The 17,518-nt window shown below is 40.8% G+C and overlaps 1 protein-coding gene across 12 annotated transcripts in view; it reads right to left on the bottom strand.

The window, feature by feature from the left end:
* Positions 16,107-17,518, bottom strand: part of KIZ (kizuna centrosomal protein) — a 120,648-nt gene continuing 119,236 nt past the window's right edge. For 8 of the 12 annotated variants that reach the window (XR_937105.4, NM_001276389.2, NM_001352436.2 and 5 more), the window contains one exon: positions 16,107-16,250. Coding sequence is in view for 11 of the 12 variants with exons in the window: in NM_001276389.2 (NP_001263318.1) it covers positions 16,153-16,250 (98 nt within the window). In the remaining variant the exon portion in view is untranslated. Of the gene's footprint in view, positions 16,251-16,689; positions 16,805-17,518 lie in introns of all 12 variants that reach the window. The other 4 variants (XM_011529296.4, XM_011529297.4, XM_011529299.4 and 1 more) reach the window with 1 other exon arrangement.

Below are 17,518 nucleotides of genomic sequence, written 5' to 3'. Positions count from 1 at the left end.
AGTGAAAGAAATTTCAGGCATCTGTGACAAAGGAGTAGAAAAATACAGGGGGTCAGTCTAACAGTTTTCTGCAATAACAATAGACTAGGGCTGGGCAAGGTGGCTCATGCCTGTAATCCCAGCACTTTGGGAGGCTGAGGCAGGTGGATCACTTGAGGTCAGAAGACCAGCCTGGCCAACGTGGTGAAAACTCGTCTCTACTAAAGATACAAAAATTAGCTGGGTGTGGTGGCACACACCTGTAATCCCAGCTACTTGGGAGGCTGAGCCAGGAGAATCGCTTGAACTCAGGAGGCAGAGGTAGTAGTGAGCTGAGATGGTGCCACTGCGCTCCAGCCTGGGTAACAGAGTAAGACTCTGTCTCAAAAAAAAAAAAAAAAAAAAAAAAAGAAAGAAAGAAAGAAAGAAAGAAAAAGAAAAACAAAAAATGACAACAAAAAAATAGGCTAGGTCGACTAGATATAATTTGACTATTTGGGGTGAAAAGTGAAGAATCAATTGGGAATGTATGTGGTCGTCTTTCACTAAAGAGGTAGTGAACCCCCTCCTTCTTTTCCTATGAAGGATGATAGAATTTTAAAAAATCTTTAGAGCAAATGCATACTGATGCACTGTCTCCTTTTTGCTTCAGTTTTTGACATTATCCCAAACTTCTACTTGCTGAAGTGAAATTATAACTGTTTATTCCTACCTAAATTTCAACTATTCTAATTCATTTGATATCATATTTGGATTCAAAATAATTTCTTATTTAAATATATTTTAAGTCTTACATTCTTATGTGTTCAACATTCTTTCATTTATATAAATATTTAAAAATTATCTCAGTCCATTTGACAATAGTTCATTAAATCATCCTCTCATTATAACCATTATTTAATTGAATCTAAAATGCTATTAATGGCCAGGCATGGTGGCTCATGCCTGTAATCCCAGAGCTTTGGGAGGCTGAGGTAGACAGATCACTTGAGGTCAGGAGCTCAAGACTGGCCTGGCCAACATGGTGAAACCTCATCTCTACTAAAAATACAAAAATTAGCCAGGCGTGGTAGCATGTGCCTGTAGTCCCAACTACTAGGGAGGCTGAGGCAGGAGACTTGCTTGAATCTGGGAGGTGGAGGTTGCAGCGAGCTGAGATCACGCCACTGCACTCCAGCCTGGGTGACAGAGTGAGACTCCATCTCAAAAAATAAAAAAAAATAAAATAAAATAAATAAAATAAAATAAAATAAAATGCTATTAATTGTAAGTTTTAATGTTATTTTATGTACCACTAAGAAGGAAAAAAAAAACCTTCCACTTAACCTGTGATATAATGCTTCCTTTTCTCTTAGAATATTTGTTTTATATTTGTTGAAAACACTCTTTTAGGCTTAAACATAGATTTAAAAAATCATTCCACAAAAAACCAAACATCTTGATTTAAAAAATGGGCAAAAGACTTGAATAAACATTTCTCCAAAGAGGCTATACAAATGACCAATAAGCACATGAAAAAATATTCAGTATCATTAACCATTAAGGAAATGTAAATCAAAACCACAATGAAATATCACCTCATGCCCATTAAGATAATAATATGGTTTGGTTGTGTCCCCACCCAAATCTCACCTGGAATTGTAATAATCCCCAGGTGTCAAGGGCAGGGCCAGGTGGAGATAATAGAATCATGGGGGCAGTTTCTTCCATACTGTTCTGGTGGTAGTGAATAAGTCTCACGAGATTTGATGGTTTTATAAATTGGAGTTTCCCTGCACAAGCTCTCTTGCCTGCTGCCATGTAAGACGTGACTTTATTCCCCATTCTCCTTCTGCCATGATTGTGAGGCCTCCTCAGCCATGTGGAACTGTGAGTCCATTAAACCTCTTTCCTTTATCAATTACCCACTCTCTGGTATGTCTTTATTAGCAATGTGAGAACAGACTAATACAGATGGATACTATTTTTTTAAAAAAAAGAAAAAAGTGTTGGTGAGGATATGGAGAAATTGGGATCTGTGCACTGTTGGGGGGAATGTAAAATGGCAGAGCCATAATGAAAAACAGTCTGACAGTTTCTCAAAAATTAAAAATAGATATGATTCATATGATCCTGCAATTCCACTTCTGGGTATATACCCAAAAGAATTGAAACCAGGGTCTCAAAGAGATATTTGTACACCCATATTCATAGCAGCATTATTCACAAGAGCCAAAAGGCAGAAGCAAACCCAGGTGTTTATTCATGGATAAATGGATAAGCAAAATGTGGTACATACATTCAAGTATTTTTCAGCCTTACAAAGGAAAGAAATTCTGACACATGCTACAGTGTAGATGAACCTTGAGAACATGATGCTAAGTGAAATAAGACAGGCACAGAGGAACAGGTATTGTATGATTCCACCTAACTGAGGTACCTAGAGTAGGCAAATTCATAGAGATAGAAAGTTAGGGGGCCGGGTGCAGTGGCTCATGCCTGTAATACCAGCACTTTGGGAGGCTGAGGTGGGCAGATCACACTGAGGTCAGGAGTTCGAGACCAGCCTGGCCAACATGGTGAAACCCCGTCTCTACTGAAAATATTTTTAAAAAAATTAGCCAGGTGTGGTGGTGAGTGCCTGTAATCCCAGCTACTAGCAAGGCTGAGGCAGGAGAATTGCTTGAACTCAGGAGATGAAGGTTGCAGTGAGCTGACACAGTGTCATTGCACTCCAGCCTGGGCGATAGAGTGAGTCTCTATCTCAGAGAAAAAAAAAAAAAAAAAAGGAAAGTTAGAATGTGGTTGCCAGGGACTGGAGGAAGAGGGGAATGGGCAGTTATTGCTTAATGGATGCAGAGGTTTAGTTTTACAAGATGAGAAAGATCTGGAGCTGGATGGTGGTGATGGTTACACAACAGTGTGACTACACTTAATGCCACTGAACTGTACGCTTGGTAATGGTTAAGACGGTACATTTTATGTGTATTTTACCATAATTTTAAAAAATTAAGAAAAAATTTTTCACTCTTATGCATGTATATAAAAGAAAACACAGGCCAACGAAATGAGTTAATGCTTTTCCAAAGCTCCTTCACGTATCAAACTTGCCTCTTCCAAATCACTTTTTGATTCTGAGTGGCAGATGTCACTTTCCCCACGTGATGTCATCCACGGTGCCATGAAGCACACTGGTGATGCAGCATGTCAGAGTTCCCCACTATTGTCCCCAGGACTTCTATCGAAGCAGCTGACACCCATTCTGCAATGACAACAATGCCACGACTGTTGTGTGGCCAACGAGATGCATTCCAATTCCGGAATTGTTAAAATGTGAAACAAAGTGGCCAGAAGCAATGAAATATGGTGATTTCTGTTCTTGACTTTTACTAGCTGGTGGACTTGATGGGCCTAAAATGAGACTGTCAGAATACAAATGCTCTCTCAACATGGAAATCTCATCCCCTGTTTAAAATTCTTCAATGGCTTCCAAATATTGGCCAATAGAATAAAGTTCAAATTCCTTCACATCAGTATAGCACTCTTCATGACCTGTTTCTTTTTTAAAATTATGAACTATTTTAAACCCACAAAAATTCAGAGAAAAACATAACAAATAACATGTGGCCACCACCCATATTTGACAAATATTTGATAAATGTTGATGCTTTGCCATATTTGCCTAGACCATATAGATTTTTTTTTTGCTATGTAAACATAAGTAACATTTACAACACTAGGTTTCAAAAAGTCAGGGTAAATGATAAGTAAACATATTAAAACTGTTCCAAAAAATATACATTGGAAAAAAGTCTAAAAGAAAATAAACCAAAATTACAGGGTGAATAATATATATACCATTTTACATTTTTATAGCAAGCAATCATTGGAAATTTGTTTAAAAATTAGTGGTTATCAATGATATAACTGAAGAATATCTGTCTTATGTCTTTCTACACTCACAAGTACATGAAGTTGAGAGAGTATTTGGGTTTTTGTTGTTGTTGTTGTTGTTTGTTGTTGTTGAGACAGGGTCTCATTCTATTGCCCAGGCCAGAATGTAGTGGCGCAATGTCGCCTCACTGCAACCTCTGCTTCCCAGACTCAAGTGATCCTCGCACCTCATTCTCTGGAGTAGCTGGGACTACAGGCCTGTGCCACCACGCCTGGCTAGTTTTTGTATTTTTTTTTTTTTTTTTTTTTTGTAGAGACTGGGTTTTGGCATGTTTGTCAGGCTGCTCTTGAACTCCTGGGCTCGAGGGATCTGCCTGCGTCAGCTTCCCAAAGTGCTGAGGTTACAGGTATGAGCCACTGTGCCCAACCAAGTTGCTTAAAAAAATAAGCCACTACTGATGCATTGAAGTTCTCTGTGTACCACCCACCCTAATCTTTTTTCTTCCCCAGAGCTAATCACTTTCTTGAAGCGCTCACAAATCCCTTCCATCCATGTTTTTATACTTTTATTCTATATGAGTCCTTTCCTCTCTATCTTTAAGTGACTCATTGAATTACTTTGTTTTTAATTGTACACATTATTTTTTTCTCTTTTCACTTTTACATATGTTTCATTAGCTGTATAAATCCTCTAGCGATGTGTTTCTTATCATTTTCCTGTCCGTGGGCCCAAATGCTTCCAAATTTTTCCTATTTCAAACAATCCACAATTAAATTTTGGACATGTCTTTGTGTACAATGGCCAGAATTCTCTATAGCAGCTTCGGCCAATAGAAATATAATAAAACCACAAATGCAGATCATATATGTAATTTTTAATTTTCTAGTAGCTACATTAGAAAATGCAAAAAGAGGCCAGGTGTGGTGGCTCATGTCTATAATCCCAGTACTTTGGGAGGCCGAGACGGGCGGATCACCTGAAGTCAGGAGTTCAAGACCAGCCTGACCAACATGGAGAAACCCCATTTCTACTAAAAATACAAAATTAGCTGGTGTGGTGGCGCATGCCTGTAATCCCAGCTACTTGGGAGGCTGAGGCAGGAGAATCGCTTGAACCCAGGAGGCGTAGGTCGCAGTGAGCTGAGATGGCGCCATTGCACCCCAGCCTGAGCAACAAGAGTGAAACTCTTTCTCAAAAAAAAAAAAAAAAAGCAAAAAGAAACTGGTAAAAAAAGAAACTGTTGAAATTAATTTTGATGCTATATTTAACCCAATATATCTAATATATCTATTTCAAGATATGAACAATATAAAAATTAATAAAATAGTTTACATTATTTCTTGCAGACCAAGTCTTCAAATCCAGTGTGTGTCTCATAATTTGGACTGGCCATGTTTCAAGTGCTCAAGTTCTATGTGGCTGGTGTTGACTGTGCTGGGAAGCGTGGCTCTAGAGTATACATTTAGAAATGGAGTTGCTGAGTCAGGACATGCCCGTCTATAACTTCACTTGATGTTGCAAACGGGCTTTTCACACTGTGTCAAAGTCCCTCTTCCCTGAAGTCCTTCCCAATTATCAGTGTGATCTGCCTCTCACTCTCTGCCAGTCTGTTGGGTATGGAATGGCACCTTATCCTCTGTCACTTTCACAGTTTATGCTAGTGAGTTCAAGAACCTTTTACATTTACTGATCATCCGGATTTCATTTTCTACTAACTTCTCATTCTGATCCTTTGTGTTTTTCTACTGAGTTGTATTTTTCTCAATATGTATTTCTTTTTTTTTTTTTTTTAAGACAGAGTCTTGCTCTGTCACCCAGGCTGAAGTGCAGTGGTGCAATCTCGGCTCACTGCAAGCTCCGCCTCCTGGGTTCACGCCATTCTCCTGCCTAAGCCTCCCGAGTAGCTGGGACTACAGGTGCCCGCCACCACACCCAGCTAATTTTTTGTATTTTTAGTACAGACGGGGTTTCACCATGTTAGCCAGGGTGGTCTCGATCTCCTGACCTTGTGATCCGCCAGCCTCAGTGTCCCAAAGTGCTGGGATTACAGGCGTGAGTCACGGCCTGGCCCTCAATATATGTTTCTTTATGTATTCCAGATACAGGTCTTTGATGGATATATATCCTAGAAATGTCACCTTCCAGCCAATGATTTGTCTTTTTTTGTTGGTATTTTTGTCATTTAAAAACTTACTTTCTTTTTCTTTCTTTCTTTTTCTTTCTTTTTTCTTTCTCTTTCTTTCTCTCTTCTTTCTTTCTTCTTTCCTTCCTTTCTCTCTTTCTTTCTTTTTTCTTTTCTTTTTTCCCCTCCCTCCCTCCCTCCCTTCCTTCCTTCCTTCCTTCCCTCGTTCCTTCTTTCCTTCATTCTCTCTCTCTCTCTTTTTTTTTGTCACCCAGGATGGCAGACAGTGATCTCACTTCACTGCAGCCTTGACCTCCCAGGCTCAATCGATCCTCCCACCTCAGACTCCCTAGTAGCTGGGACTGCAGGAGCACACCACCATGCCTGACTAATTTTTCTATTTTTGGTAGAGACGGGTTTTCGCCATGTTGCCTAGGCTAGTGTCAAACTCCTGGGCTCAAGCCATCTACCTGCCTCAGCCTCCCGAAGTGCTGGGATTATAGGCATAAGCCACTGTGCTCAGCCACAGAAGTTTTAAATTTTAATGTTGTGATATTCATCAATATTTTTATGAGTTTTTGCTTCTTCTGTCTTGGCTGAGAAATTCTTCCTTGCTTCAAAGTCATAAAGATACTTATTTTTTTCTTTAAAAGTTTTAAAGTTTTCTTTTTCATATTTAGTTCTTTATTCCAGCACGAATTTCTTTCGTGTTAGGGATGAAGTCGAAATTTAATTTTCTATTTTGCCATGTGGCTTGCCAGTTGGTCCAGCCCTGATTGGGAAGGTGGTGATCACCTCACTGATTTCTAATACTACATCGGTCCCACACTCAGTTCTCATGCCTGGGAATATTTCTAGAGCCTGTATTCTGCTCCATGTTTCTATCCCTGAGCCAACACCACATGGCCTAATTACTGCTCTTTATAATAAATCTTGATTTCTGCTATAGCAAGACCCCTTCTCTTTATTCTTCAAAATTGCCTTCAACATTTTGGCCTTTTAAATTCCTTCTGAGTTTTATGACCAGCTTGTTAAGTACCTGGAAGACCTGTTGGGATTTTGACTGAAATCGCATTGGCTTTTGGATCAATTAGGAGGTAACTATGATTCTTTTTTTTTTTTTTTTTGAGATGGAGTCTTGCTCTGTCGCCCAGGCTGGAGTGCAGTGGCGCAATTTCGGCTCACTGCAAGCTCCACCTCCCGGGTTCAAGCGATTCTCCTGCCTCAGCCTCCCGAGTAGCTGGGATTACTTACAGGCAACTACCATTACAAAACCACCCTGTTATTGGTGTATAAGAATGCTTGTGATTTTTGTACATTGATTTCGTATCCTGAGACTTTGCTGAAGTTGCTTATCAGCTTAAGGAGATTTTGGGCGGAGACAATGGGGTTTTCTAGATATATAATCATGTCATCTGCAAACAGGGACAATTTGACTTCCTCTTTTCCTAATTGAATACCCTTTATTTCCTTCTCCTGCCTAATTGCCCTGGCCAGAACTTCCAACACTATGTTGAATAGGAGTGGTGAGAGAGGGCATCCCTGTCTTGTGCTAGTTTTCAAAGGGAATGCTTCCAGTTTCTGCCCATTCAGTATGATATTGGCTGTGGGTTTGTCATAGATAGCTCTTATTATTTTGAGATACGTCCCATCAATACCTAATTTATTGAGAGTTTTTAGCATGAAGGTTGTTGAATTTTGTCAAAGGCCTTTTCTGCATCTATTGAGATAATCAAACAATAGAGCCAAATCATGAGTGAACTCCCATTCACAATTGCTTCAAAGAGAATAAAATACCTAGGAATCCAACTTACAAGGGACGTGAAGGACCTCTTCAAGGAGAACTACAAACCACTGCTCAGTGAAATAAAAGAGGATACAAACAAATGGAAGAACATTCCACGCTCATGGGTAGGAAGAATCAATATCGTGAAAATGGCCATACTGCCCAAGGTAATTTATAGATTCAGTGCCATCCCCATCAAGCTACCAATGACTTTCTTCACAGAATTGGAAAAAACTACTTTAAAGTTCATATGCAACCAAAAAAGACCCCACATCGCCAAGTCAATCCTAAGCCAAAAGAACAAAGCTGGAGGCATCACACTACCTGACTTCAAACTATACTACAAGGCTACAGTAACCAAAACAGCATGGTACTGGTACCAAAACAGAGATATAGATCAATGGAACAGAACAGAGCCCTCAGAAATAACGCCACATATCTACAACTATCTGATCTTTGACAAACCTGAGAAAAATAAGCAATGGAGAAAGGATTCCCTATTTAATAAATGGTGCTGGGAAAACTGGCTAGCCATATGTAGAAAGCTGAAACTGGATCCCTTCCTTACACCTTATGCAAAAATTAATTCAAGATGGATTAAAGACTTACATGTTAGACCTAAAACCATAAAAACCCTAGAAGAAAACCTAGGCAATACCATTCAGGACATAGGCATGGGCAAGGACTTCATGTCTAAAACACCAAAAGCAATGGCAACAAAAGCCAAAATTGACAAATGGGATCTAATTAAACTAAAGAGCTTCTGCACAGCAAAAGAAACTACCATCAGAGTGAACAGGCAACCTACAAAATGGGAGAAAATTTTCGCAACCTACTCATCTGACAAAGGGCTAATATCCAGAATCTACAATGAACTCAAACAAATTTACAAGAAAAAAACAAACAACCCCATCAAAAAGTGGGCAAAGGATATGAACAGACACTTCTCAAAAGAAGACATTTATGCAGCCAAAAAACACATGAAAAAATGCTCACCATCACTGGCCATCAGAGAAATGCAAATCCAGACCACAGTGAGATAGCATCTCACACCAGTTAGAATGGCGATCATTAAAAAGTCAGGAAACAACAGGTGCTGGAGAGGATGTGGAGAAATAGGAACACGTTTACACTGTTGGTGGGACTGTAAACTAGTTCAACGATTGTGGAAGTGAGTGTGGCGATTCCTCAGGGATCTAGAACTAGAAATACCATTTGACCCAGCCATCCCATTACTAGGTATATACCCAAAGGACTATAAATCATGCTGCTATAAAGACACATGCACACGTATGTTTATTGCGGCATTATTCACAATAGCAAAGACTTGGAACCAACCCAAATGTCCATCAATGATAGACTGGATTAAGAAAATGTGGCATATATACACCACGGAATACTATGCAGCCATAAAAAAATGAGTCATGTCCTTTGCAGGGACATGGATGAGGCTGGAAACCATCATTCTCAGCAAACTAACACAGGAACAGAAAACCAAACACCTCATGTTTTCATTCAAAAGTGGCAGTTGAACAATGGGAACACATGGACACAGGGAGGGGAACATCACACAACGGGGCCTGTTGGGGGGTGGGGGACTAGGGGAGGGAGAGCATTAGGAGAAATACCTAATGTAGATGACAGGTTGATGGGTGCAGCAAACCATCATGGCACGTGTATATCTATGTAACAAAACTGCACGTTCTGCACATGTACCCCAGAACCTAAAGTATAATTAAAAAACAAAACAAAATAAAACAAAAATCTCCTTTAATTGGCGGTGGGGGGTGGGGGAGGACTGCAGAATGACCAAATAATAAAGCTGTATCTGAACTTCAGTAGGGAGTTGGTGGGGAGTGGCTACCCCAGATCTAGAGCTGAGTCCTAAACTCTGTGAGTTGTGGTGCTTGGTTTCACCAGTTCACAGGATCCACATGTTAATCAAACTCACAAAAGTTTGATTTATAAATGGGAAGATCGGGTTATTAACTTATGCTGTGATAGTGATAGTGCTTTCACCTGGGAAACAGGACTAGCCATGGGCTCCATGTGTGACCTCCCCATGAAGCCTGATCCTCTGGAAACCCCAAAATACATCAGAGAGGTATTTAGTGAGGGTAACAGAGCAACTTTCCCCTCCTTCCACTTGGCCGTGCCCTCCTAGCACTTGTTCTATTTTTTTTTAAGCTTATTTTTGAAGGTCAACTTTCTTTTTCCCTAAAATGTATTTTAAAAGGGAACTTTATATCACTGCTATCCATTTTATTTTATTTATTTTTATTTTGTCAGGGCCTTATTCTGTTGCTTAGGCTGGAGTGCAGTGTCATGATCATGGCTCACTGCAGCCTCGACCTCCCTGGACTCAGTGATCCTTCCACCTCAGCATCCTACGTAGCTGGAATTACACACACGAGCCACTGTGCCTGGCCACTTCTGTACATTTTAAACCAGAGCCATTTGAGATAAATAGAAAGTAACTAAAAAGAAAAAAGAAAGGTTAAATTGTAGCTGGAAAATTTTGCTTGCTACTAGTGTGGGGTCCTAGGCCTACTCTATTGCTACAAAGTAAGAAAATGGTTAGCAAAGTTTTAAAGACTAGCAGCAAACCTAGGCTTTCTTCTGGACTATCATCAGTGCAGCATGTGATCTGTAGGTAAAAGATGTTAAGATGTAGGACTCTGTATACCCCATCAGCATTGCTGACAAATAGCAAGTTAGTGCCCTGGTTGAAGGCCTGTTTTGTTTTCTTAGTGGGTATCAATCTTTTAAGCCTGGTAACATTGAGATTAAAAATAGAAACGTTTAAGAGAATGAAAAAGCATATGTGCACAGAAAAAGTGTGAAAGGGTATCACCCAAGTGTCAATAACATTTATTGATGGAGGTTAGTTTATGTGGAATAATTTTAGATTTGTTGCAAAGATAATGCAGAGTTCTTATATACCCCTAGCCCAGTTTCAGTTGCCCTTAATATTATCATCTTACATTGCTGTGGCACATTTGTCAAAACTAAGAAACCAACATGGTACATTAATATTAAACTCCAGACTTTACTCACATTTCACCAGATTTTCCGTGAATGTCCTTTTTTTGGTTCGAGGATCCCACCAGGGCCCCACAATGCATTTTAGTTGTCATGTCTCTTTCTCCTCTGGTCTGTGAAAGTTTCTTAGTCTTTCCTTGGTTTTCATGACACTGTCTGTTTTGAGGAGTAATGGCTGGGTGTTTTGTCAAATGTCCCAAGGTTATCTGATATTTTTCATGATTAAGCTGTGGTTAAGATTTTTCAGAAAGAACACTATAGAGGAGAAGTGCCCGTCTCCCGGCAGCATGTCAGGGTTCCAGATATCCACACGAGTCATGACTCATGGGTGTTAACCTTCATCACGTAAGGTGGTGTCAGGCAGGTTTCTCCACTGTACCATTACTATTTCCCCCTTTCCATCTCTATTCTGTGGAAGTGAGTCACTAAGTCCAGCCCACATTAGAAATGGGGGGAGGAGGGAGAATTCAGTTCTACCTCTTGGGTCAGATGGTTGGAGGAACCCAGTTCATTTGCTACTTTCCAGTGGAGATACATACAAATACCCAGGGAAATGCTCCAGATGCTGTGCCTGCTTTCCAGAAACCACAGAGGGCTTCCCCGCAGGCTGTGGTTTCTGGAGGTTTTCCTGTCAACAGACTCCCGTTTATTGACTACCACAGCTCAGTTCTAAAAATGTCCCCCAATCCCTGCCCCAAGGTGTGCAACTTGTTCCTCACCTTCTGCAACTGTAATTGTTACCACTTCATTTAGAAATAGTCTAACCACAGATACTTGAGGTTCTTAACTGGAAAAAGGAAAAAATATGTTCTTTATTCAGAATCAAATTTTCTTTAAAAAAATCTCAAAGGTGTAATGTTTATTCAGTGAGCATTTAGGAAACCTTGCAAGTCTCACCACTCCAAAATTAAATTACACGTGGCCTAATCAGAATATACATAAATAGCTGGGCGTGGTGGCTCATGCCTGTAATTCCAGCATTTTGGGACGCAGAGGCGGGCAGATCACTTGAGGTCAGGAGTTCGAGAATAGCTTGGCCAACATGGTGAAACCCTCTCTACTAAAAATATATAAATTAGGCATGGTGGCGCATGCCTGTGATCCCAGCTACTCGGGAGGCTGAGGCGGGAGAATCACTTGGGAGGTGGAGGTTGCAGTGAGCTGAGACCCTGCCACTGCACTCCAGCCTGGGCCACTGAGTGAGACTCTGTCTCAAAAAAAAAAAAAAAAAAAAAAGAGTATACGTAAATGGAAGAATAGTATATTGGTCAGGATAGACCAGAATTTTCCTGTGGTAACAACCTGCCAATTCCAGTGGTGCAAACATGATTAGCAGGGGAGGTCTGCTCTTCCTAGTCACTGATGCAGCCAGGCTGATGGAGGCTCCACTTGTCCCATGCTGCCATGGCTGCTGATGCAGGAAAGAGGAGAGAATCACACATAGCACTAAAGCTTCTAACCAAAAGTGGCATTGGTTACTTGTGTTCACATTGCATTGGCCAATGCAAGCCACATTTTTCCATTTAACTTCAATCCTTGCCAGGCACGCTTCTCTTTGTCTTCTTAGTGTCTACTGACAAGTTAGTATCTATATTGCTCTTCACTTAGCTGCCATATTTATGTATCACTTTTGACCAAGTTTTCTAAAATGAGAAGTTTTGATGAATAATGTCCTTTTTGACTCTAAAATTCAAAGACCATGTGATCTCTAAAAGCTTTTCCAGTCCTAAAATAGCGTGATTCTAAATCTTTCCATCGTGTGCTTTGAGCCATAAAGTACCCCCTTTATTTATGTGGAGAATTACCATTAGAGTCAACTCCCATTATTTAATAATTGTGGATAGGGAAGAGAGAATATAGAAAAATAACGCTGTAGTATAAAGCTTAAAAGTTTTAAAAACCAAAGAATGAAATATTTTATTAGAACAACTAAGCCAGAACAACATAATGAAGAAAAACAAAAAACAAAACAAAACAAACAACAACAACAAAAAACCAAACAGCCAACATTCCTTGCCTCCCATCAAATGGATAAAAACATGGATTTCAGAGTTGGATTTATTTCCTCATAGTAGATAGCTGTCTTTCTAGAACAGTGATTCCCACAGGAATCACTAAAAATGCAGATTCCTAGTCTCTACATCAGCTTTGAGTTGGTTTCTATGCTGAGCAAGCAAAGTGTCTGGGTTATAATAGGGTGCTCAATAAATAGCAGCTATTTTATTATTAGCAAATTAATAATACCCAAGTTATACCTTTTTAAGAAGAAAGAAAAAGGAAACCCATGGCAGGATTTTTCTTAGTTGCCAAGGGCAATATCAAGACACCTGCTGCAGAAACTCAGGTGTGAAGGCTCAGATGGGGATGGTGATGATGGCAGGGAAGAGATAGGAAAGGCCTTGGTAATTTGAGTGGAAAGAAGGGAGAATAAAGGAGTGAATCAAAGACATCTCCCAAGTTCTTGAGTAGGTAAGTGACAAGCAGGAGGTGATTTAAAAACAAAATACACACAATGCTTTAAAAATCATTTCAATTTCAGAGATTCTGAGGGCTCAAAGGAAGCCAGAGTAGTCACATGACCCACCATGAGTCCCAGGCTCCTGAGTTGCACAATTAACTTCTGACATTGACTAAAGTGACCATTTAAAAGTGAGAAAGTGTTGCACCAAGAGTTGCCTGTAGTCACTACACCCCAAGATGTATGAATTACCAATTTCCTTTTTCTAAACAGTATTGACATGTAATTTACAGAGCATATAATTCACCTATTTAAAGTGTACACTTCAATGGTTTTCAGTGTATCCACAGAATTATACAATCATCAGCACAATGAATTTTAGGACATTTTCATTATCCCTGCCAAAATCCCTCATATCAGTAGTCACTCCTCTCCCGACCCCAGGCCTAGACAACTACTCATTTGTCTATGGATTTTCCTGTCCTAGACACTGCACAGAAATGAATCTGACATTATGTGGTCTTTTGTGAGTGACTTCTTTCACTTAGAATAATGTTTTCAAGGTTCACCCATGTTGTAGCATGGATTAGTACTCCATGCCTTTTTATTGAGGAATGATATTCTACTGTATGGATATTCTGTTTATCCATTTATAAGTGATGGACATTTGGGTTGTTTCTACTCTTTGGCTCTTATGAATAATTCTTCTATAAATATTCCTGTACAAGTTTTTGTGTGGATATGTTTTTGTTTCTCTTGGAGTAGAATCATTAGGTCATAATCCCTCTATGTTTAACCTTTTCAGGAACTACTAGAGTGTTTATCAAAGCTGCTGCACCATTTCACATCCCTGCCAGCGATTTCTCCACCTCCTCACTACTTCTGTTACCTGACTTTTTGATTCCAGTCATGCTAGAGGGCATGAAGGGGTACCTCACTGTGGTTTTGATTTGCATTTCCTTGAAGACCAATGATGCCATGCATCTTATTGGCCATTTGTATATCTTCTTTGGAGAAATATCTATTCAGATCCTTTGCCCATTTTCAAAATCGGGGTTTTTTAAATTATTGAGTCATAAGAGTTATTTATGTATTTCTGGATACAAGTCCATTTTTAGATGTATAATTTGCAAATACTTTCCTCATTCTATAGATTGTCTTTTCACTCTTTTTTTTTTTTTTTGAAATGGGAGTCTCACTCTGTCACCCAGGCTGGAGTGCAGTGGTGCTCTCTTGGCTCACTGCAACCTCCGCCTCCTGGGTTCAAGTGATTCTCCTGCCTCAGACTCCTGAGTTGCTGGGACTACAGGTGCGTGCCACCACGCCTGGCTTTATATATTTTTAGTACAGATGGGGTTTCACCATGTTGGCCAAGCTGGTCTCGAACTCCTGATCTCAAATGATCCACCCACCTTGACCACCCAAAGTGCTGGGATTACAGGCATGAGCCACTGCACCTGGCCTTAACTTTCCTGGTGGTATCTTTTGCAACCACATCTAAGGCTTTGCGGTCATATCTAAGAAACTGTTGCCTAATCCAAGGTGAGAGAAACTTACACCTATGTTTACTTTTTTTTGAGACCAAGTCTCGTTCTTGTCGCCCAGGTTGGAGTGCAATGGTGCAATCTTGACTCACCACAACCTCCGTCTCCTGGGTTCGCCCAGGTTGGAGTGCAATGGTGCAATCTTGGCTCACTACAACCTCCGTCTCCCAGGTTCAACCAATTCTCCTGCCTCAGCCTCTCAAGTAGCTGGAATTACAGGTGCCTGCCACCATGCCTGGCTAATTTTTGTATTTTTAGTAGAGACAGCATTTCACCACGTTGGCCAGGCTGGTCTCAAACTCCTGACCTCAGGCAATCTGCCTGCCTCAGCCTCCCAAAGTGCTGGGATTACAGGCATGAGCCACCATGCCTGGCCACCTATGTTTACTTCTAACACAGTTTTGTAGTTTTAGCTCTTACATTTAGGTTCTTGATCCATTTTGGTTAATTTTTGTATACAGTGTGAGGTAGGGATCCAAGATCATTCTTTGGCCATGTGGCTATCCATTTGTCCCAGCATCATTTGTTGAAATGGCTATTCTTTATCCCATTGAGTAGCAGAAATTGTTACCCTTGTCAAAAATTAATTGACTAAATGTGACAGTGTTTTTGTATTCTCAATTCTAGATACATATGAATCAACAGAGTCAATATTCCATTGATTTCTGTTTATCTAGTACCACAGTATCTCAATTACTGTAGCTTTTCAGTAAGTTTTGAAATAAGGAAATGTGAGAAATCTAACTCTATTTTTTTTTTTTTTTTTTTTTTTTTTGAGAAGGAGTCTTGCTCTGTCACCCAGGATGGAGTGCTGTGGCGTGATCTCGGCTCATTGCAACCTCTGCCTCCCAGGTTCAGGCAATTCTCCTGCCTCAGCCTCCAGAGCAGCTGTGATTATAGGTGCATGCTACCACGCCCAGCTAATTTTTGTATTTTTAGTAGAGATGGGGTTTCACCATGTTGGCCAGGCTGGTCTTGAACTCCTGACCTCAAGTGATCCACCCGCCTCGGCCTCCCAACTGTATTTCTTTTGCAAGATTGTTTTGGCTATTCTGGGCCTCTTGAATTTCCATATGAATTTAAGATCAGCTGGCTAATTTCTAACATAGAAACCACCTTGAATTTTGATGGGCATTGCATTCATCACTTTGCTTCATGATGAACTTAAAAATGAATATGCAAGTTCATATTTATGTCATAAAATTTCACTTGAATAGCAATGTAGTCCTAAGTTTTCCCATAAAACAGTGAGAAAACTTAAAAGAACATATTTATTTTGGACATCACATATTAACACAGGATTTTAGTTTGTTTAAAGACTTTATTTGAAACCAATGTCACAGCACGTTAGTCATAAAAATCATCAGAATCATCGGTGTTATGGTTTCTGGGGCGTAAAGCAGCCTCAATTTCTGAGTTACTGTCATCAGACTCATCCCAGAGGGCTGGAAAATAAAACCAGACAGTTATTTAACATTTTTGCATTCTGGTTAAGAGCTTACAAAACAGCACAGCACGGAAGGACTGGTTAAGCAGAGTGTCAGTCTGCAAAATGCATAACAGGGACACCACATGATGTACCTGACCAGACACACCCAAATGCATGTCATACTGCACAAATTACACATTGCAAAGTGTGTCCTCTGCACTGTTATGGAAAACAATTTGCAGAATACTTCCTTTTCCCTTCTGTTGTGCCCAACTCTTTATTATAGGATAGGGATTTAAGGTCAGGGTTACATGGAAGCAGGGTTCCCTGGGGTGTTGTATCAGCCTGATGCCGCCCCACCTCAGCTGCCCCTCCACTTTCATCTCCCATTCTTCTTTATGAGAGCAGAGAGGAGAAGGGAAAGACGTGGCAGAGGAATAAGCAGAGATGGTTACCCTGAGACAGGACTTTGGTCCACATCATTTACTTGAGAGGTGATCCCAGGAACCATGGGGACAGTGACACAAGGAAGACAGGAAGCCAATGAAGGGTATGATGACGAGTGGGTGCCTGGCAGTGAGTGGACAGGCAAGGCTCAGCCTGCTGGGGCCCCCTGAGAGACTGCAGAACTCTCCCCAGATTGTCCCAGTGAAGAGCAAGGGAGTGGGGTTACTGATCCACCAACTTGCCTCTGTTGGTTGAGGGTTGCTCTCAACCCAGGGCATCAACTCCCTGGTACTTTGGGCTGCCTTGTGAGGGCTGAGCACGCTCCTGCAGCCAGAGAAAGCCCTCAGGCAGAGAGACACAGCTGCTTGGTGCAGGAAGCTGTAGGCGCGTCTGTGAATTGGAGCTGAGGTGCCCTGCAGGTGGTCTGGCAAGGTGTAGTGGAGCGGACCACGTCTACTACATCAACAATCCCTTAACTCTGCTGACACCTGCATGGCACCACCTGCCAGCTCTGTGCTGACTTCTCATACACAACCCCATCTCATCCTCGCACCAGCCTGGCAAGGTAAGTATTAATGTTTCCATTTCACTGTGCAAACAAACGGACGCTGAAGGGGGTTAAGAAATTGGCCACAATCACAATGCCAGTGAGTGGCCAAGCTGGGAGTCCCATCCAAGTCATCTGACTCAAGCCCATACTCTCCATCACAACCCACTGGGTACTTGTCTCCCCCACAGTAGGTAGCTGTCCTTCTAGAAGAGTGATTCACAGTGGGGTGCTTGCTAAAAAGGCAGATTCCTAGGCCTAGGTTCTACAGCAGCTCTGAATCAGTTTCC

The sequence above is a fragment of the Homo sapiens genome, chromosome 20 (assembly GCF_000001405.40).
Source record: "Homo sapiens chromosome 20, GRCh38.p14 Primary Assembly".
NCBI lineage: Eukaryota > Metazoa > Chordata > Mammalia > Primates > Hominidae > Homo > Homo sapiens.
This window is presented reverse-complemented; position numbering and strand designations above follow the sequence as displayed.